General features: G+C 55.0%; 2 protein-coding genes and 1 long non-coding RNA gene across 46 annotated transcripts in view, besides 9 other annotated features; 2 read left to right on the top strand and 1 right to left on the bottom strand.

The window, feature by feature from the left end:
- The window catches only part of COL23A1 (collagen type XXIII alpha 1 chain), a 352776-nt gene extending 345966 nt beyond the window's left edge, over positions 1-6810 (top strand). For 8 of the 10 annotated variants that reach the window (XM_011534691.3, XM_011534690.3, XM_011534688.3 and 5 more), the window contains 5 exons: positions 2034-2087; positions 2300-2386; positions 3890-3967; positions 5249-5287; positions 5728-6810. In XM_011534691.3, the coding sequence (XP_011532993.1) occupies positions 2034-2087; positions 2300-2386; positions 3890-3967; positions 5249-5287; positions 5728-5730 (261 nt within the window). In that variant the 3' untranslated portion in view covers positions 5731-6810. The remainder of the gene's footprint in view (positions 1-2033; positions 2088-2299; positions 2387-3889; positions 3968-5248; positions 5288-5727) is intronic. The other 2 variants (XM_047417869.1, NM_173465.4) reach the window with 1 other exon arrangement.
- Positions 3444-3563: an enhancer, noted in NCBI's record as "active region_23745". NCBI's record gives its function as "activates an Ori minimal core promoter by ATAC-STARR-seq in GM12878 lymphoblastoid cells {active_cell/tissue: GM12878}" and the evidence as "EXISTENCE:reporter gene assay evidence [ECO:0000049][PMID:35858748]".
- Positions 5564-5613: an enhancer, noted in NCBI's record as "active region_23744". NCBI's record gives its function as "activates an Ori minimal core promoter by ATAC-STARR-seq in GM12878 lymphoblastoid cells {active_cell/tissue: GM12878}" and the evidence as "EXISTENCE:reporter gene assay evidence [ECO:0000049][PMID:35858748]".
- Positions 5619-6292: an enhancer, noted in NCBI's record as "H3K27ac-H3K4me1 hESC enhancer chr5:177665137-177665810 (GRCh37/hg19 assembly coordinates)". NCBI's record gives its function as "activates a minimal SCP1, AML or CMV promoter by ChIP-STARR-seq in primed H9 embryonic stem cells {active_cell/tissue: H9 hESC(primed)}" and the evidence as "EXISTENCE:reporter gene assay evidence [ECO:0000049][PMID:30033119]".
- On the bottom strand, positions 5760-10390 carry LOC112267937 (uncharacterized). Of its 2 annotated transcripts, XR_002956238.2 has the most exons (3): positions 9230-10390; positions 7828-8012; positions 5760-7669 (listed from the first exon to the last, which is right to left on the bottom strand). It is a non-coding gene; the product is annotated as an uncharacterized LOC112267937 (long non-coding RNA). The 2 variants fall into 2 exon arrangements; XR_002956237.2 differs by having other exon boundaries at positions 5760-8012.
- Positions 6293-6966: an enhancer, noted in NCBI's record as "H3K27ac-H3K4me1 hESC enhancer chr5:177664463-177665136 (GRCh37/hg19 assembly coordinates)". NCBI's record gives its function as "activates a minimal SCP1, AML or CMV promoter by ChIP-STARR-seq in naive H9 embryonic stem cells {active_cell/tissue: H9 hESC(naive)}" and the evidence as "EXISTENCE:reporter gene assay evidence [ECO:0000049][PMID:30033119]".
- Positions 9337-9416: an enhancer, noted in NCBI's record as "active region_23743". NCBI's record gives its function as "activates an Ori minimal core promoter by ATAC-STARR-seq in GM12878 lymphoblastoid cells {active_cell/tissue: GM12878}" and the evidence as "EXISTENCE:reporter gene assay evidence [ECO:0000049][PMID:35858748]".
- Positions 11392-11801: a silencer, noted in NCBI's record as "silent region_16719". NCBI's record gives its function as "represses an Ori minimal core promoter by ATAC-STARR-seq in GM12878 lymphoblastoid cells {active_cell/tissue: GM12878}" and the evidence as "EXISTENCE:reporter gene assay evidence [ECO:0000049][PMID:35858748]".
- Positions 11392-12201: a biological region, named in NCBI's record as "H3K27ac hESC enhancer GRCh37_chr5:177659427-177659965".
- Positions 11464-12002: an enhancer, noted in NCBI's record as "H3K27ac hESC enhancer chr5:177659427-177659965 (GRCh37/hg19 assembly coordinates)". NCBI's record gives its function as "activates a minimal SCP1, AML or CMV promoter by ChIP-STARR-seq in naive H9 embryonic stem cells {active_cell/tissue: H9 hESC(naive)}" and the evidence as "EXISTENCE:reporter gene assay evidence [ECO:0000049][PMID:30033119]".
- PHYKPL (5-phosphohydroxy-L-lysine phospho-lyase) overlaps positions 11606-20007 on the top strand; it is a 25679-nt gene continuing 17277 nt past the window's right edge. For 18 of the 34 annotated variants that reach the window (XR_007058651.1, XR_007058650.1, XR_002956187.2 and 15 more), the window contains exons 1-6: positions 11626-11936; positions 12905-13023; positions 14329-14488; positions 18999-19073; positions 19699-19786; positions 19864-19980. Coding sequence is in view for 21 of the 34 variants with exons in the window: in XM_024446240.2 (XP_024302008.1) it covers positions 11878-11936; positions 12905-13023; positions 14329-14488; positions 18999-19073; positions 19699-19786; positions 19864-19980 (618 nt within the window). In the remaining 13 variants the exon portion in view is untranslated. 34 annotated transcript variants of the gene reach the window in all.
- Positions 11882-12201: a silencer, noted in NCBI's record as "silent region_16718". NCBI's record gives its function as "represses an Ori minimal core promoter by ATAC-STARR-seq in GM12878 lymphoblastoid cells {active_cell/tissue: GM12878}" and the evidence as "EXISTENCE:reporter gene assay evidence [ECO:0000049][PMID:35858748]".

The raw sequence follows: 20007 nt of genomic DNA, 5'->3' as shown, positions 1-20007 counted from the left end.
GACTGGGGTGGAATCAATGGGTTATGAGAAGGAGGTTGTTCTCAGGAAAATCAGGTAGCTATTTTGAGGGACATAGGCCCAGATGCAGGGCTGCAAGGACTCTGGTGCCCACCCTAGACTTTAAAAAGAGAACATTACCGGCCAGGCACGGTGGCTCACACCTGTAATCCCAGCACTTTGGGAAGCCGAGGCGGGTGGATCACGAGGTCAAGAGATAGAGACCATCCTGGCTAACACGGTGAAACCCTGTCTCTACTAAATATACAAAAAAAAAAAAAAAATTAGCCAGGCATGGTGGCGGGTGCCTGTAGTCCCAGCTACTCAGGAGACTGAGGCGGGAGGATGGCATGAGCCCAGGAGGCGGAGCTTGCAATGAGCTGAGATCGTGCCACTGTGCTCCAGCCTGGGCAACAGAGTGAGACTCCGTCTCAAAAAAAAGAACATTACCTGGGAGAGCAACTGTGGACGAGGGAAAGGAAGAGCTGTAGCTTGGGTTTCTGACGGGGGTGCTGGGTTCCATCAATGGGAAGGGATGGGAGAGGACAATGCTGAACCAGCTGCAGGCTCTGGGCCCAGTTGAGGGTGGAGCTAAGGAGACTCCATGCCACCATGAATGTGGCCACAGCTGCCTTCCAGGAGGCCTGGTTCTCAGGGTGGCATCTCAAAGCCATGCCCACCTGCTCTACCTGGCAAATGCCAGGCTCCTCCTCAACCCCAGAAGGCCCAACTATAATGAGGACCGTGCTGAGAAACTCCCCTTGACCCCCACCTGTGATAGAACAGCCCTTCCCTCCAGAATCCCACCACCCCTATTTCACACCTCTGTCACTGAGCATTGACTGTCATCAGCACTCTCTTGCCTGCCCCGTTACACGTGAACAAGGGACCATGTCGAATCCAATTCTCTTTTTAAAATTGTTTCTTTTTTTTTTTTTTTTTGGAGATGGAGTCTCACTCTGTCCACCCAGGCTGGAGTGCAGTGGCATGATCTCGGCTCACTGCAACTTCTGTCTCCCGGGTTCAAGCGATTCTCCTGCCTCAACCTCCCAAGTAGCTGGGACTACAGGTGCACGCTGCTAGGACGGCTAATTTTTTGTATTTTAGGAGAGATGGGGTTTCACTGTGTTGCCCAGGCTGGTCTTGAACTCCTGAGCTCAAGCAATCTGCCTGCCTTGGCTTCCCAAAGTGCTAGGATTACAGGCGGGAGCCACCATGCCTGGCCTCTTTGTTTGTTTTTTGAGACAGAGTCCCGCTCTGTCGCCCAGGCCAGAGTGCAGTGGTGCGATCTCGGCTCACTGCAACCTCCACCTCTCAGGTTCAGGCAATTCTCCTGCCTCAGTCTCCCAAGTAGCTGGGATTACAGGCGCGCATCACCATACTCGGCTAATTTTTGTGTTTTTTAGGGTTTCGCCATGTTGGCCAGGGTGGGTCTCAAACTCCTGACCTCAGGTGATCTGCCCACCTCGACCTCCCAAAGTGCTGGGATTACAGGCATGAGCCACCATGCCCGGCCACAATGAATCCAATTCTGTGTCCCCAGTGTCCAGCCAACAGCCCGGTTCCTAGTGGATGTTAAGCCACCTTGGTTGGGTGGACGGACAGATAGATGAATGGACAGATGGGTGTGCAGGAAGTTGAGCCAAGGGCACAGAACAGAGATCACCATTTCTCATCCCATCAGACAGTGACATAACTTCCATGGTTTCCGGGGTCTCTGTCCCCAGCCAAGCCTAGACCAGTGCCAGCCGCGTCTGTGATGTGAGAGACAGCCCCTTGCCAGCAGCTCTGCCTGAGTGTTGGTGTCCAGCGACTACTTTGGAGCAAGCCCAGCTGGCATCGTAAATGCATGCTCTTCCTACATCAGCCTTGTACCCAGCAGTGTATCACCTACAGCTAGGGCTAGGCCAGCGTGTGCCACGAATATGCAGGGGGGAAAGTGGGCGTGTGGATGGGAGAGGAACAGAGATGAGCCGGTAACAGAGGGGCAAACCTCCAGCCTCATTTTCGGGTTTAGCATCTAATCCTTTTGTCAGGGTTTCCCTGGACCCCGAGGAGAGAAAGGTGATCGGAGCGAGCGTGGAGAGAAGGTGAGGGCAGCTGGACGGGAGCTGGGGCAGGAGGAGAGGGGGAAGGAGGCAGGTGGGAGTGGAGGCTCAGGTGAAGCAGGTAGAGAGAACCCAGGCCGGGCAGGTGGGCGGAGGCAGGGGGAGGCTGGCCCCACGCGCTTCTCTCGGAGAGATGTTGGAGGTTCCTAAGCCTGGCAGCCATGACCAATACCACCATCTCCCCTCCTGCACAGGGAGAACGAGGGGTCCCCGGCCGGAAAGGAGTGAAGGGCCAGAAGGGCGAGCCGGGACCACCAGGCCTGGACCAGCCGTGTCCCGTGGTAGGTGTCGGAGGAGGGCCCTGCCCCAGGTCTTTTTGGCCTCCAGCCAGGGTCAGCCCAACATCTTCCCTGTCCTCGGAACTCAGCTGCAAGTCCCAGAGGCCCCACTGGTCACGCACTGGCCTTCCTCACTGTCAGGGCCACTGCTGCTGCTACTGCCATCATCGCGGTTCCCCTTGCTCTGGTCCTAACCACCCCCAACCATGGGCATGACTCAGGGAACCCAGCCCCTCTGTAGAGCTGGAGGCCCAGCCCCTCATTCTTCACCCCCAGGACAGGCCTGGCTTGAGTAGGAACCCACTGTGGGCCATCTTGGGCTGGAAGTGGACAGGGCCTAGACCAGGAGTGGAGGGGCTTTACCTGGAGTCATCAGCACCATCAGCGGTGCCCTGGGAGGGGGCTGGGCCCTGCGGAGGGAACCAAAGTTAGCACAGACACGCTGCCGCTGGGGGCGGAGGCAGTGAGTGCCCAGCCCCATCGCTGTGGTCTGGCTGCCTGGGGTGGAAGTCGGGGTCTGACTCCCACTGGGCCTGAGGCCAAGCTGAGCTGAAACTCAGCTTCCCCAAGCACAGACGGTGGGACCACCCTGACCTCTCTGGCTGGCTGTGCCTCCCCTTCCTTCCTCCTTCCCAGAAGAGTCTCTCTGGGCTGGGGCAGCACCTCCCTCTTCCCCACATCCCCTCTGCCTACCCCCACACCCTTCCTGTACCTCTTTCTGTGCTCTCTCAGTGGCCTTTGGCAGCCCACCAGCCCCAGTGGTTTCAGGCACTGGTGCCTGAAACAACCACAGTTCAAAAGTCAGCTCCATTTATTTCTTTTCGGAGACAGAGTCTCACTCTGTCGCCCAGGCTGGAGCGATCATGGTTCACTGCAGCCTCCATCTCCCAGGCTCAAGTGATCCTCCTGCCTCAGCTTCCCAAGTAGCCAAGAACTACAGGCATGCACCACCATGCCCAGCTAATTTTTAATTTTTGTAGAGCTGGGGTCTTGCAATGTCGTCCAGGCTGGTCTGGGCTCAAGCGATTGTCCCACCTTAGCCTCCCAGAGTGCTGGGACGACAGGTGTGAGCCACTGTGCCCTGCCTAGTTCCTTTTTCTAGAAAGTAGGGAGGGTTTACATGTCACACTCTTCCGGTGGAGCTCAGAAAAGACAGGAAAAACAGAACAGCTGGGTTTTCGTACTAAAACTGGACAGATATTCAGACGTGGCCACTCCAGCCACGGGGATGTGTGCAGGCCGGCCTCAACCTCCAGCGGTGCCAGAGTTAGAGACCCCCTCCCAGACCTCTGGCCTCTGTTCCTCAGTGTCCTTATCCCTGCAGTGGGGGATACCGCTCCCCTCGGACAGTTTTGAGAAGTCAATGAGAAAAGGACTTGAAGAGCGAAGTGGTCAGCGCACAGAAAGGGCGGGGACAGCAGGGGCAGGGTGGCCCAGCCCCGCAGCTCCGGGGCCTGGCCCAGGACTCCCCTCCAAATCAGTAAGCCCTTGTCTCCTTTGAAACAGGAGAATCCCACGTGCGGAGGCCGGAGAGGGGCACCAGGCTGGCGGGGCCCTGCGAGGGGCAATGGGCCATGCCCTGCGGTAGGCGGCCTGGCCTGCTGTGTGCCGTGTGCCGTGTGCTGTGTGGGCCTTCGGGGCAGCCAGGGCCCTTGGCTCTGCCCCGGCCTTCCTCGCTTCTGCTTCCTTTCCATTCTGCCCCCCTCCCCACCTTCCCTTTGGTGCCTAGCCTGGTCCCTGGTGTACACATGGGAATATTCCAGGGGATGCCCAGTGTCTGAGGCTCATTCCTGTGCTTTGGAACAGAATGACATGTTTTGCGCCTTGGTGTCCCTGATGAGTCAGTCTTCGTTCCTCTCCAGTTTCCCCACCCTCCAGGCTGCCTGAGGAAACCCGGCCCCTGCTTATGTCTGGCTCCTGGGTGGGCACCACAGGTGCCGCTAGATAGCCCTACCCCAGGCCCAGCCCCAACCCCCAGCAACCTGAGCCTGCCCTGCTCCAGCCAGCACAGGCTGGAGCAGGATGCCAATTCCTGGGCCATCCTTAAAACCCTCCAGGAGCCATTCCTGCCCAAGGCCTGAAAGCTCGCAGGCCCCAGGGTGAGGAGCCAGAGTGACCGTCACATCAGGCAGGAAGCCACACGGCTCTCAGCAGGACCCAGGCCAGAGTCACTGTCACATCAGACAGGAAGCCACACGGCTCTCGGCAGGACCCAGGCCAGAGTCACTGTCACATCAGGCAGGAAGCCACACGGCTCTCGGCAGGACCCAGGCCAGAGTCACTGTCACATCAGGCAGGAAGCCACACGGCTCTCGGCAGGACCCAGGCCAGAGTCAGTGTCACATCAGGCAGGAAGCCACACGGCTCTCGGCAGGACCCAGGCCAGAGTCAGTGTCACATCAGGCAGGAAGCCACACGGCTCTCGGCAGGACCCAGGCCAGAGTCAGTGTCACATCAGGCAGGAAGCCACACGGCTCTCGGCAGGACCCAGGCCAGAGTCACTGTCACATCAGACAGGAAGCCACACGGCTCTCGGCAGGACCCAGGCCAGCCTGTACATGTCTGGCACAATGCTCATCCCTTCCTAGTGCCCTCCTGTTCCTGCCCACTGCACAGCAGTCCCCACAAAGCACAGAGGGAACACACTCAGGACAAGCTCAGTGAGAGGCCGTCGTTCCCCATGACCCCATGACCCCACTACCTGGGTGGACAGAGGAGGCATTGTGCCCCTGCCTCAGTGGGGCCCAGCAGTCTCACATGGCCGCTCCCTGGCCTGCACCTCCCTACAGACCAGGGGAGGGCATGTGGGGTGTAGAGGAGCTCCCCAGGCCCCATCCCCATCACTGAAACCTTCTTCCTTTCCAGGGCCCCGACGGGCTGCCTGTGCCTGGCTGCTGGCATAAGGTACCGTGCAGGGAAGTCTCCAGGGCAGGCTTGGGAGAGGCAGGGGAGGGTGGGGGAATGGGAGGGCCCCAGAGCCTGGGTGCTGTCACTCAAACCTCTGGGTGTCTGCGGCTTCTCGCACAGTGACTGAATAGCCAGGTTTCCCATCATGACCCTGGTTTTGACTCTCCCATCTTGCATGTGAGGCGTGGGGCTGTGGTCCTGGGTGATGGTGTATAACCCATCCTGTGGGTCACATGGACTCAACTGACACCTGGACCAGGCAGGGCAAAGCCATCAGTGCCCCCTGGGATATTGTCCCAACTGGCCCACTGAGAGGGAGTGGGGGGAGGGAAGATAGGAGGAAATGGGCAGGACCGGGGAGGCCAGGCAAGGTGGCCTGGATGGGGGCGGAGCTTCTCGGGCTCCTCGTCACCTTCAGTCTCTTCCTCCTTTTCCAGTGACCCACAGGCCCAGCTCACACCTGTACAGATCCGTGTGGACATTTTTAATTTTTGTAAAAACAAAACAGTAATATATTGATCTTTTTTCATGGAATGCGCTACCTGTGGCCTTTTAACATTCAAGAGTATGCCCACCCAGCCCCAAAGCCACCGGCATGTGAAGCTGCCGGAAAGTGGACAGGCCAGACCAGGGAGATGTGTACCTGAGGGGCACCCTTGGGCCTGGGCTTTCCCAGGAAGGAGATGAAGGTAGAAGCACCTGGCTCGGGCAAGGCTAGAAAGATGCTACGTTGGGCCTTCAGTCACCTGATCAGCAGAGAGACTCTCAGCTGTGGTACTGCCCTGTAAGAACCTGCCCCCGCAAAACTCTGGAGTCCCTGGGACACACCCTATCCAAGAAGACCCAGGGGTGGAACAGCGGCTGCTGTTGCTCCTGGCCTCATCAGCCTCCAAACTCAACCACAACCAGCTGCCTCTGCAGTTGGACAAGACTTGGCCCCCGGACAAGACTCGCCCAGCACTTGCGGCTGGGCCCGGGGAGCAGTGAGTGGAAATCCCCCACGAGGGTCTAGCTCTACCACATTCAGGAGGCCTCAGGAGGCCAGCCTGCCATGAGAGCACATGTCCTCTGGCCAGGAGTAGTGGCTGAGCTCTGTGATCGCTGTGATGTGGACCCAGCTCCAGGGAGCAGAGTGTCGAGGATGGAGGGGCCCAGCCTGGACTGACTGCTACTTCCTGTCTCTGTTTCCATTATCACCCAGAGAGGGACAAGATAGGACATGGCCTGGACCAGGGAGGCAGGCCTCCCACTCAGAGTCTGGGTCTCACTGGCCCCAAGTCTCCCACCCAGAACTCTGGCCAAAAATGGCTCTCTAGGTGGGCTGTGCAGGCAAAGCAAAGCTCAGGGCTGGTTCCCAGCTGGCCTGAGCAGGGGGCCTGCCACCAGACCCACCCACGCTCTGACGAGAGGCTTTTCCACCTCCAGCAAGTGTTCCCAGCAACCAGCTCCATCCTGGCTGCTTGCCTTCCATTTCCGTGTAGATGGAGATCACTGTGTGTAATAAACCACAAGTGCGTGTCTGGGTGTGCCTGTCCTTGTGGACTGCCCCTGGGGCACCTCTGGCTGTGGTTTCATCCTGGCCACTGCTGGGTGGGGAGGGAAAAGGGGACCCTCCCTGAGTAAGAGCCATCCCAGAAACCAAAGGAGGAAGTTCAGGGTCAGGGCAAAGATGGGATTTGGAGTTCGGAAGACACAGATTCACTGCCTGGTCCTGCCACACATCAGCTGAGTCCTCTGGCAAGTCACTACCTGTCAAATTGAGCCCCTGTGTGCTCCTCTATTGCGGTTAGCAGACTGCTGCATAACAAATCTCTCCAAAACTTGTTGCCTTAAAACAATGGCGATTTTGGCCAGACACAGTGGCTCATTCTTTTAATCCCAATACTTTGGGAGGGCAAGGTGGGAGGATCACTTGAGCCCAGGAGTTCGAGACCAGGCTGGCAGCATGGTGAAACTCCATCTCTACCAAAAGTAAAGAATTAAAAAACATTAGTAGGGTGGGTTGATGTGTGCCTGTGGTCCTAGCTGCTGGGCAGGCTGAAGCGGGAGGACTGCCTGAGCCCAGAAGTTAAAGATCAGCCTGAGCAACATAGAGAAATTCCTCTCTTTAAAAAAAAAGAAAGAAAATCATTTTGATTTCTCTTGTGCAGTCTGTGGTTAATGGGCTCAGTGTGGGTGCTTCTCACTCCGACTCTCACATGGTTGCTTATGGCTATAGCAGGGACCTCAGATGGCAAATACTTATTTGTGGCCTCTCCACGTGACCCAGGCTGCCTCCCACATGGTGGCTGGATTCCAAAAGTGACTGTCCCAGGTCAGCCAGTTGGAAGCTGTGTCACCTTTTAGGGCCAAGTCTCAGAAGTCATGTGGTGTCACTTTCTGAAAGAGTGGAGGGAGGAGAGTTAGACCCCACCTCTCCACGGGAAAGTGTCAACATCATATTTCAAAGAGAAAATGCGGAATCGTAGATCTTGTTGCAGCCCTCTGAAAAAATGCAAACTGCCACCTCAGCTGTGAAACGAGAGGGCACTACTTACCACTCAGATTGTGGTTCCGTGAGGATCCAGTGCAGAGTATGCGAAGAGTATAGGGTGTGTCCCTCACCCAGAAGCACCCTCAATTCTGATTTTCATCTCTCCTCCTGACTCCAAGGCTGCTGAGCAACAGCCACAGTCCTGCAAAGTGTTCCCACTTCTGTCATCACAGCTGGTCCCTATAACAACTAAGAGAGGGACCGTCTTACAGATGACAAAACCAAGCACATCCAGGGTGGTCTAGGCAAGAAGGGCCATGGGCCGGGCGCGGTGGCTCACGCCTATAATCCCAGCACTTGGGGTGGCTGAGGCGGGCAGATTACCTGAGGTTGAGAGTTCGAGACTAGCCTGACCAACACGGAGAAACCCCGTCTCTACTAAAAATACAAAATTAGCTGGGTGGTGCATGCCTGTAATCCTGTAATCCTGTAATGCCTGTAAATTAGGTGGGTGGTGGTGCATGCCTGTAATCCCAGCTACTCGGGAGGCTGAGGCAGAAGAATCGCTTGAAACCAGGAGGTAGAGGTTGTGGTGAGCTGATGTCGCACCATTGCCCTCCAGCCTGGGCAACAAGAGCGAAACTCCGTCTCAAAAAAAAAAAAAAAAAAAAAAAGGGCCTGCAGTGATGGTGTCTCTGATGGTGGTGGTGCATTGCACTGATGGTGTCTGAGTCTCCAAGGACTGAAGCCTAGGGCAGGCCACAGTATGGGTGGTCACCCTCAGACTTCTGTGACATGGCCTTGCTAAGCAGAAGAGGCTCGGCCACACACTGGCTAAGGAGGGAGAGATATATCCAGTCCCCTCCTCTGTCTCCCTAAGGAACTGGCAATAAGTGGAAGGTCACATCGCTCAGCCAGTTGTCTGGGTCAACAGGGAAGCCAGTAGTGGGAAAAGGAAGAGAAACACAGTGGGGCTGTGATGACTGATGGAGGTCACTGGGTGTCCATGCCGCCTCTGGAGTTCCAGCATAACCTCACCATCTGCATGCTACACTTCACAGTTCCCTCCTTCCTCCATCCAGGAACCTCACTTGATCCCCTCACCAGCCCTGCGAAGCCCAGGGCTTGTGTGATAGGTGTCGATATGCCCATTTTACATAGGGGAACACTGAGGCTCAGAGAGGGTAGTCACCTGGCCAGGGATGCACAGCCAGGACATAGTGGCAGGCTTGGGACTGCACCTAGGCTCTTGGGTTTGTCCTCTAATACGTCCTTCTGAAACTTGTCTGGCAGAGCATGGAATCTGATAGGCAGCTCCATGATGCTGTGTGATTGGCAGGTAGATCCTCGTGGGGTAGAAGCCATGTGTTCCCCCCACTTCCCCAGTCTTCTGAGGGGGTCTCTCCTGCTCCTTTAGGCAGGATGGGGCATTCTTGGCCCACTGCTGCCCCCTTGCGGTCTCATACCTTGTATCCCGATGGCTGCAAACGTTTCAACTGCAAGCTTAAAAATGTAGAGTCGGCTGAGTCCTCAAAGTGCCCGGGGAGAGCACAGAGGCGGTAGAGGGTTCAATGATTTGTTCAAGGTCCCAGCCGAGACACTGGGGAGCACCCTGCTTCACAGCTGAGACTCAAGGACTGGGGGGCCTCAGGCCTCCTGCCAAGAAAGGCAGTACAGCCTCAAAGTACCCCTTTCTGGAAGAGAGAGAAGTACATTTACTGAGTCCTGCTGTGTCCCATGACAGCTAAACTAACCACAAGGATGACGATCCCTTTTTATAGATGAATGTGAAGGGGACTTACCAGGTCTCTTTCCTCCTGGTCCCTAGGAGACCACTAGGAATACATGGGATGCTTCTGGTTAGCACAATGATTGCAGGACACCTGGGCATTCAGGGGACAGGGCCAGGGATAGCAAACACCTAAAATGCATAGGACAGTCCTACCCAGTGACAAATCATCTCAACAAGAATCCCGGTGCCAACCCTGTTGAGAAACACCATGCCCTGGGTTCAAATCCTGACTCAGCCACTTCCATCCCCTACCCTCTTGGACTCCAACATTGCCTAGAGGGCCAGGCATGAAATAAAGGACAGATGAGTGCCTGGCACAGGGCCAGAGACAAGGAGTGGGCTTTTCTGAGCAGGAAGAAGGTGAGGCCTCCTGGTGTTCTGTGCCATGCTATAAGATACTCCTGGCCCAGGAAATGGCTCAACCTGGTCTGACCTCCAACTATATCACCTCTTGACCCAGGAGCAGGTGAGATGTTAGCCGGGCCCAGCTACAGCCTTCTCACCCTCTGCCTTAAAGCAGGAAAAGCCCCTGAGCCAACCTGATTCCTCTGAGCTGCACGGGGCCACAGCTGTGGCTGGAGTTTGGGCTGCAAGACAGGGCTGAAAGGCGGGGCCCAAATAGGACTCACACACACACAAATACACACACACACACACGGTCTGTGAGGTCTTGATCCTCAGAAACGAAGTACAGGCTGGGTATGGTGGCGTGCACCTGTAGTAGCAGGTACTTGAGAGGCTGAGATGGGAGGATCACATGATCCCAGGGAGGTAGAGACTGCAATGCTGCACTCCAGCCTGAACAACAGAATAAGACCCTTTCTTTAAAAAAAAAAAAAAATACAGGCCACAAGCAGTTAACCTCGCAGTTAATTTGGGAAGAATTTTTTCCAAAAATCATGTAAAATATTCAATTCAGCTTTACAGTTAAAAATAAGAAATTCCATTCTTTTAGGGAAGATGAAAAAGTCCTGTTGCATGGATGGTGGTGATGGCTGCACGACGATGTGAATGTACTTTTGCCACTGAATTGTATCCTTAAAAATGGTTAAAATGGTAAAATTTTGTTATGTATATTTTACACAATAAAGAAAAAAGAAACTCCAAATGTTCTTTAATAAATGCCTTAAGCGGCCGGGTGCGGTGGCTCACCCGGCCTGTAATCCCAGCACTCTGGGAGGCCGAGGCAGGCAGATCATCTGAGGTCAAGAGTTCAATAAATGCCTTATGCATCTTACAACTGTATTGGGAAGAGAAGAAGAAATCAGCAATGAGGGAGTGAAGCAGAGGCCTGGGAATCATGATGTGGACAGAAAGAAGGGACAATCAGGAGCCTCCCCTGCACCTGCTGCAGTCCCAGGCCCGTGTTCCAGGGTTCTTCAAGGCAGAAAGCCCCAGTGCCTCACCCCAGGAGGGGGCTTTTCTCTCATATCCCAGCCCCTTGGGAGGCTTTTTCTTCTCACTCCCTGGGCTGGGAGTCAAGAAGACCTCAGTAGGAGTCCAGCCTCTGCAGCCTTGCTGCGTGTCTGACAACAAAACCCTTTCCCTTTCTGGGCTTCAGGGTCACCGACATGTACCACAAGGAGGATTCCCAACCTCTCTTCTTGCCCAAACGCTGCATGATTCTCTCAGCGACGATACAGCTCGTCCGGTTCACCCTGCCTAGATTCTAGCAGGAACTATGGTGCCCTGAAGGTCAAGCCCATGGTGATCTCCTTGGTCAGCCCCAGAAGGGACCCTGGGCTCTCCTTCTGCTCTTCCTGCTGCCCCTTCATGGGGCTGGGAAAACCTAGGACCTGCTTCTCCCACCCTGAGGCCCCTACTGTGTACCAGGCCCGGGTAAGGTACCAGTCACATACTCGCACTTAGGCCTCACAGTTCATCCCATTTTATGCACAAGGCGACTCAAAGACTGAGTCTGGCCCAGAGAAGGCCTGCAGGAGCTCCGAGCCCCGCCTGGGCGCCGGGAGCAGGGGCGGGGTCGTCCGGGACCCTTTCCCGGAAGGGAGGCCGCAGGGGCCTGCGGGGCGGGGCCTGCGGGGCGAGGCCCGGGGCGCGTCCCGGAACCAGAGACGGGGCAGCGCTCGAGTTCCTGCGCGGGACTGCCAAGGCACGACCACGGGCCGGAAGGCTGCCAGGCCCAGTGGGCAAGCGAAGAAATGAACCACCGCAACGCGGGCGCTTCGGGGCGGGGCCGAGTGCGAACCTGAGCCCCAAATCCCGACCCAGGCAGGGGCGGGGCCCGGAGCGGGGCCTTGGAGGCCCAGCCCGCGCGGCGACGTCTCCGCGTGGCGTCACGGCACCGACTGACGGCCACCCACCATGGCCGCAGACCAGCGCCCGAAGGCCGACACGCTGGCCCTGAGGCAACGGCTCATCAGGTACCCGGGCGGGGGGCGGGCGGCGGGGGGCGCGGGGCTGCGCGGAGAGGCACGCGCACGCACGACGCACGCACGCACGCACTACGCACGCGCCTCCGGCTAGGAAGCCGCTGCTACCCATCCCGTCCGGCCGCTGCCCCGGCCCCGCTGGAGCTTCTAGGGCCCGAGGCGGGCGGCGCCGTTGGGCAGTCCCGGCGGGTGGTCTCCGGGGCCGCCTCCCCGACAGCGCCGTCTCCAGGCCGCCCAGTTCAGGAGACGGCCCCGCCCTCACCGCTGTTCGGCTGTGTCAGCCTCGCTTGGCAGCCTTTACTCCGGAGAAGACCTTCACCCTGGCGCCTGAGAGGACCTCACCCAGGGTGGCCCGTCAGCAGCACCTGGGCCTGGCTCGAGAGTGACCTGGGAGGGGGCTGAAAGGGCAGACAAGGGAGAGTCGGGGGAGTCGGTTCACAGGCAGCACACTTGACCTGTGAGGGGGCCCTCGGTGGGACGGTGGGTGAGGTCGCCTCCCACTGGAGCTTAGGGCTGGCACCCAGCGAGGGGCAGCAGGGCCACGTGGCTGGCAAGGAGCTGTTTAGGGCTGAGAGCCAGGCACCTAATGTTGGTGCCCTGGCCCATCCCATCGAAGACACGCGGCCTTATGGAGTCCCCATGGGACGGGGCAGCCACCTTTTCTCAGGATCCGGGAGACTGACGCGGACACATGCAGAAATGAGCAAGGAGGCCACAGAGGCTGAAAATGCTTTCAGAAACAATCCGAAGTTTCAGCGACTTGTTACCCCATCTGCTTCCTGCTTTGCAACCACCTGTGGAGTGGAGAGACAAGGCAGGGAAGCAGCACCTTGCCCTTCCAGCTCTCATTTCCCCCCCGCCACCAGAAACTGGGAAGGGGTGGGCGGGGGTCTGCGATGAGTAGACTTCACCCTTTCGGTCTTCAGACATGGCTGTCCACTCCTTGCCTGTCCCCACAGCTCTTCCTGCAGACTCTTTTTTCCCGAGGATCCTGTTAAGATTGTCCGGGCCCAAGGGCAGTACATGTACGATGAACAGGGGGCAGAATACATCGATTGCATCAGCAATGTGGCGCACGGTCAGTATCACACCTCAGGCTGGCAGGGCAGGAGAGGAAGGCAGTGCTGTGAACCTGGTCCCAAGGTGACCTGAGATTGCCGAGAGGTGTGGAGAACCTGGGTGGAGTTGAGGCACTGTCAGTATGCAGAGGAGGCTCAGCCTTCGCAATATAGCTGTGGAATTCTGCAATCTGGAGCTGTGCTAAACCAGGCAGGGGTCAGCAATCTAGGTCTGTGAGTCTAGTTCCACTTGGGACTGATGATGAGCTCACAAAGTGGCAGATGGCCCAGCTGTGACCAGCAACGTAGCACAGTGCTGGCCAAGTGCTGGGGTCATGGCAGTGCTTCAGCCCCATTGGCCATCTCAGGTGCTAGGCAAGGGAGCTGAAGTAGGAATTCAGTCATCTTGATGAGGCTGCCAGAGCTGATGGAAAGAAAGGGAGTCTGAGACTCAGCAGGCACATGGAAGATGAATAAAGTTGAGGTTAAAAAAAAAAAAAAAGCAGAGACTCTAGTCTTAGACTGCTTGGGCTCAAATCCCTGTCCCCTACTTACTAACTTGTGATCTCGGGCAAGTTACTTAATTCTCAGTGCCTCAGTTTGCTTATCTGTGAAAGACATAATGATACTAGGTACCCACTTTAAGGTGTTTGGAGAATTAAGTGTGTTAATTTATGTAGCTTGCTCTGAATGTGCCTGGCACATGGTGAGCTCTCAGTACATATTCACTGTTATTATCCTTGGCCTTTGACAATCAAGATTACCACCAGCCCCCTTGGCTGGTGAAGTGAAACCAGTTGACAGTCACCCCCCACCCCACCTTTGTCATACAAGCCTCAAAAGGCCTTCCAGCCTGGGCAACATAATGAGACCTTGTCTCTACCAAAAAAAAACTTAAAAATTAGCCAGGCATGGTGACTGGTGTCTATAGCCCCACCTGCTCAGGAGGCTGAGGTGGGAGGACCACTTGAGCCCAGGAGTGTGAGGATGCAGTGAATGCCATGATCACACCATACACTCCAGCCTGGGTGACAGAGTAAGGCCCTGTTAAAAAAAAAAAAAAAAGTCCTCCTTAAAGACATGGGCTTTCTAGACAGGGTTCTTCTGCTGAAGCGGCTTTCCTTCTGCCAGAATCTCAGGAACTCCTGGATCTGCCTTTCCAGAACCAGCTTCTCTCTCCCTGCTCTGCCTTCAGACTGCCCTCTTTCTACCTCTCCCTCTAGAACTACATCTCTTCTGGCTGGGTTTATAGCTTGGGGCTGGGGGAGGCCCAGTGGGACTGGCTGAGTGGAGCCAGCCGTGTGACGGAGGCGGCCCTCTTCCAGTTGGGCACTGCCACCCTCTCGTGGTCCAAGCAGCACATGAGCAGAACCAGGTGCTCAACACCAACAGCCGGTACCTGCATGACAACATCGTGGACTATGCGCAGAGGCTGTCAGAGACCCTGCCGGAGCAGCTCTGTGTGTTCTATTTCCTGAATTCTGGGTAAGTGGACTGTGGCCAGCCCCCGGGAAGAGGGTGAGACGGTAACAAAGACAGTCACTCACATGGGCCCAGTGTAGTGTAGCTGACCGAGTGTGGACTCGGAGAGGCAGCCCCCACTGCACCAGGCTCCTGAGATTCCCGGCTGTAGGCCCTGATGCTTTCTCTGTTGGATCCAGTTTCCTTGTCTCTTATTGAAGGATGTTATTACCTCCTTTCTAGGATCATTGCTGGAGCTTAGTGAGGTAATATGTTCCTTTATTTCTGCCTTAAGGATACAGCCAAAATCCCTGCCTGTGGGTTGCTCAGTAAGGAAGGAAAACATCAAGTGATTCTTCAAAGAAATACAGAATTGCAAGGAGGGCTCTGGAGGAAGTGTACAGGGTATCATGAGGCCTAGAAAAAGTGAGGGGACCTGACCTGGGGGTTCAGGGAAACCTTCCCTGAGGAAGGGCTGTTAAGCTCAGAGCTGACTAGGAGATAACTAGAAGAGGAGGAAGGAAGGGTGCTGCCACTGCATCAGAAGTCTCGTCAAGGCTGGGCACGATGGCTCATGCCTGTAATCCCAGCACTTCGGGAGATCGAGGTGGGCGGATCACCTGAGGTCGGGAGTTTGAGACCAGCCCGGCCAACAGGGCGAAACCCCGTCTCTACTAAAAATACACAAAATTTAGCTGGGCGTGGTGGTGGGTGCCTGTAATCCCAACTACTCAGGAGGCTGGGGCAGGAGAATCGCTTGAACCGGGAGGCGGAGGTTGCAGTGAGCCAAAATTGCACCACTGCACTGCAGTCTGCAGGACAGAGAGAGGCTCTATCTCAAAAAAAAAAAAAAAAAAAAATAGTCTCATCAAAACTCTTGTCAAGGTTGGTCACCACACAGAACTGCCTGTGGAAAGGCCCTGTAGCAGGAAAGGATATGGTACCCAGCACACTTGAGGAACCGAAAGAAGTCCACGAAGGGAAAGCAGAGGCTGTGAGCTGTTGGGAGGCAAGCAGGGCGCATCACCTAGGGCCTTCTCCGCCAAGTGGGGAAGCTGTCTTTATCCTAAGAGCATTGGGAAACTATCGGAGGCTTTAATCAGGAAACGATGTCTTAAAGGGAACGGAGTGCAAGAGTGGACACTGTTAGGTGCCAGTTCAGTGGCCAGGTGAAAGGTCATGGTAGCTCACACTAGGATCGGCAGTGGAGACAAACAGGCAGGCGATTACAGTGTATCTGGGAGAGAACATTCCAACAAATCGTAGGTGGTGGCGTTGAATTATAGTGATGATTACTGTGGCCACTCACACAGTACAGACATCTGCCCCCCAGATAATTTCTAGGAAGTGGAATTCACCATCTTCATTTTACAGGTGGGGTAACAGCAGTTCAAAGAAAGGAACTTGAGCCCAGACATTTGCCATGTCAAGAGCTGGAGCCTCTGGAAAGAGAAGGGAGCTGGTGCTTCCTCAGTGGTGGTGGAGGAGGGGCATTCTTATGCCACCAGCTTTATTCTGTGTGGATTCCAGGGACTTCCATGTTGCCAAATCCAAAGCAATCTCTTTGCTGCATTGTCTTACTCTGTCCCAGCAGTAATTGACAGTTACCACTCTCCGGAAGTGGTCTGTCATCTTGCTTCCCGGGCACTGTGCTCTCCTGTTTTCTATCAGCTTCTCTAGCCACTCCTTCCCTGTCTTCTTTGCTGATTCCTCCTCTGTTCCTTGGGGCTGATCCTGGGCCACTTTTCTCTCTGAGCCCTCTCCTCAGGTGATCTCTTCCATTCTCTTGGTATTACATAGCATCCATGTGTTGGTGACTCACAAATTTTTTTGAGCCCAGACATGTCCCATGTGTTCCAACTCGAGGTTCTAACTGCCCCTGTGACATCTGACAAACATCTCCAGCTTCATGTGTTCAAAAGGGCAAGGGTTGATTGGACCATGGTACTGTTCTCCCTCACCTGCCCAAGAAGGCTATCCCCACTCACCCCCGCTCATCTTGCCTTGTAAAGGGCATCACCACCTATATCTGCTCCAGGCAGAAACCACACGCTCCCCAGTCCTGCATCAATCCTGCCTCCTCCATCTCCATGATGCCTCTTAACTCCCTCCACCTCTCCATCTCCATGGCCACCACCTGCTCTCACCTGGCGTCCTCCTCCTTGGTCTTCTCCTTCTACTTTTATTCTTGTCAACTCCATTAGACACAGCCAGAGGCCACCTCCTAAAATAGGAGCTGACTTATGTCCCTTTTCTCATTAAAACTCTTCAGTGGCTTCACATGGCACTGAGAAGAAAACTCAGGCTCCTTCCCAGCCCTGTGCACATGTCCCCTGCATGTCTCCCCACTTCCTCTCCTACCCTGCCCTCCTTAGGCCCTGGCCTCCCTCATCTTCTCCTGGTTCCCGGAGCACACTGAGCTCTTTTCCTTCACAAGGCCTTGGAGCATGCTGCTCCATCTGCCTGGAAACCTCTCCCTCAAGACTCAGTACATGAGTCACCTCCCCATAGACGCTTCCCCTGACCCTCTGTGTTGGTCTGCTCTGGCTCTCATAAGAAAATACCAGAGACTGAGTGGCTTAAACAAAAGACATTTATTTTCTCACAGTCCTGGAGGCTGGAAGTCCAAGACCAAGGTGTTCGCAGGGTTGGTTTCTTCTAAGGCCTCTCTCCTTGGCTTGGAGATGGCCCTGGTTGGTCTTCTGAGTGCAGGTGTCCCTGGTGTCTCTTTGTGTGTCCAGATTTTCTCTTATAAGGACACTGGTGAGATTGGATGAGGGGCCCCCTGACGGCCTCATCTTAATGTAATCACCTCTCTTATCTCCATATCCATTCACATACGGGCCATTGCGAGCTACCGGGGATTAGGGGTTCAACACATAAATTGGGGGTGGGGGGGTGCAGCTCAGCCCATAAACATGCCCCCTCTGGCTCGCTCTCCCAGGGCATCCATCGTAGCACTTAGAAAAATGATCACTTCTTCTTTTTTGGCTTTGTGGTGGCGTGTGTGTGTGTGTATTTGTATATACACACATATATATATAAATACACAGACACACATATATACAAACACACGCATTCATTTTCGTCCACAGTTCCTGGCTCATAACTCCCACAGCCCTTGTTACACTCTTTTGTTACAACATTGGGTGTGTCAGGCCTCAGGAGACAATCACTCTAACCTCCTGCCCTTCCTTTTACCTGCCCAAGACAGGACTCTAATCTTCCCTACCTTTCTGATGGTGGGTCATAAAACTCATTCCAGAGACGGTCCCACCCCATATCCTGCTAGAAGGAATGCTGCTGTCATGAAGCTTCCATAAAAACCAAGGGGACTGGATTCAGAGAGCTTCCAGATAACTGAACATACAGAGGTTCTAGAAGGGTGGTGCGCCCAGGGAGGGCACAGGAAGCTCCATGCCCTTCCTTCATACCTCACCCTATGCATCTCTTTATCTGTATCTTTTATAATATCCTTTATAATAAACCAGTAAATGTATTTCCCTTAGTTTTGTGAGCCACTCCAGCAAATTGAACCTACAGAGGGAATTGTGGGAACCTCAACTTGAAGCCAGTCGGTCAGAAGTTCCAAAGGTCACCCGGGCGCGGTGGTTCACGCCTGTAATCCCAGCACTTTGGGAGGCCGAGGCGGGTGGATCAGGAGTTTGAGACCAGCCTAGCCAACATGGTGAAACCCTGTCTTTACTGAAAATACGAAAAATTAGCTGGGCATCGTGGTGGGCGCCTGTAATCCCAGCTACTTGGGAGGCTGAAGCAGGAGAATTGCTTGAGCCTGAGAGGCAGAGGCTGCAGTGAGCTGAGATCGCGCCACTGCACTCCAGCCCGGGCAACAGAGTGAGACTGTCTCAAAAAAAAAAAAAAAAAGAAATTCCAAAGGTGGCCAGCATGGTGGCTCATGCCTGTAATTCCAGTACTTTGAGGCCGAGGTGGGAGGAATGCTTGAGCCCCCAGTCTGGGCAATATAGTGAGACCCCATCTCTGCAAAAAAAGAAGTTCCAGAGGCCCAGACTTGCTACTGGTGCCCAGGGGGCTGTGGGGCAGCTTGGGCATTGAGCCCTCATGCTGTGGGATCTGATGCTGTCTCTAGGTAGATAGTGTTGGAATTGAATTGGAGGACACCCAACTGGTGTCCGCTGCAGAACTGATTGCTTGCCTGGTGGTGGGGAGAAATCCTTACATATTTTTTGGAGTCACAGAAGTCTTCTGTGTTGATTGTTGTAGTGTGAAAGCAGAGGAAAAACAATGGTTTGGGTTTTTTCAAAACAACTTTCATGACACATACGAGAATGTAAATTCCAGAAGGGCCAAGGCCATGTCTGTTTTACCTACTCTTTTTCCCCCAGCTTCTAGTACATAGGAGGCATTTGATATATACCAAACAAACAAGCAAGTGACTGACTAGTTGATGTCCTGAGAATCTTCTTGCTGCTGGAAGGGTCCTCCTGCCCTCAGCATTTCTCTCTGGGAAGCTCTTAGACTACTCTCTCAGTCATGCCCACCTTTTCGGTCATAGGTCAGAAGCCAATGACCTGGCCCTGAGGCTGGCTCGCCACTACACGGGACACCAGGACGTGGTGGTATTAGATCAGTAAGTGCAACTCACAGCCCTACCGTTCCCAGAAGCCTGGCCCACAGGCTTCTTGGTGATCCGTGAGACTGACTCTGGGTGCCTTAGGCAGGGAGGATAAGGGGCCTGGGCTACTGAAGACAAGTGTGGCAGGCAGAGGACCAGGCCTGAGACCTCCCAGAGGCTCTGTCACCCTGGGCCACCATTCTGGGAAGGCAGCTCTGGGGAGCAGAGTGCGCTTTGTAAGAGACTCAAAGGTGGTCCCACAACATTGTACATGTTCAAACTACTCCAGCAGTAGCTCCCATGAATTGAGTATGTGATGTGCACAAAGCCGAGGCTGACAATATCAACACATTTAAGATTCATTATAAACCAGAAGGAGGAAATCCCACCTCATTTCACAGCAGAGAAAACAACCGAGAGAGATTAAATGATGAGCTGCTGTCACATAGCCAGTCAGCAGTCTTGCAAGAATTGTTGCTGACTCCAAAGCTTGTGCTCTTTCCCAGCCCAAGAACTTGGGGGCTCTGTCAGGAAAGTTGGCCTCCCTTGTGTGTCTTCAGGGGTGGGGAGACGATGGTCAGACTGGGCCAGGGAGTAGGTGCTGCCCGGACCCGAGCCTACCCTCCCTTCTCCTCCCCAGTGCGTATCACGGCCACCTGAGCTCCCTGATTGACATCAGTCCCTACAAGTTCCGCAACCTGGATGGCCAGAAGGAGTGGGTCCACGTGGTATGCACTGCCCAACTCAACAACAGGTCGGTGCCTGTCCCCAAGCCCGGATAACATGGCGCTGTCACTCCCCACAGGCACCTCTCCCAGACACCTACCGGGGCCCCTACCGGGAGGACCACCCCAACCCAGCTATGGCCTATGCCAACGAGGTGAAACGTGTGGTCAGCAGTGCACAGGAGAAGGGCAGGAAGGTAACCGTGTCCGCGCCTGTCCAATCC

This window comes from Homo sapiens, chromosome 5 (genome assembly GCF_000001405.40).
Source record: "Homo sapiens chromosome 5, GRCh38.p14 Primary Assembly".
Taxonomy (NCBI): domain Eukaryota; kingdom Metazoa; phylum Chordata; class Mammalia; order Primates; family Hominidae; genus Homo; species Homo sapiens.
Note: the sequence above shows the minus strand (reverse complement) of the source record. Positions and strands in the feature narration are given on the sequence as shown.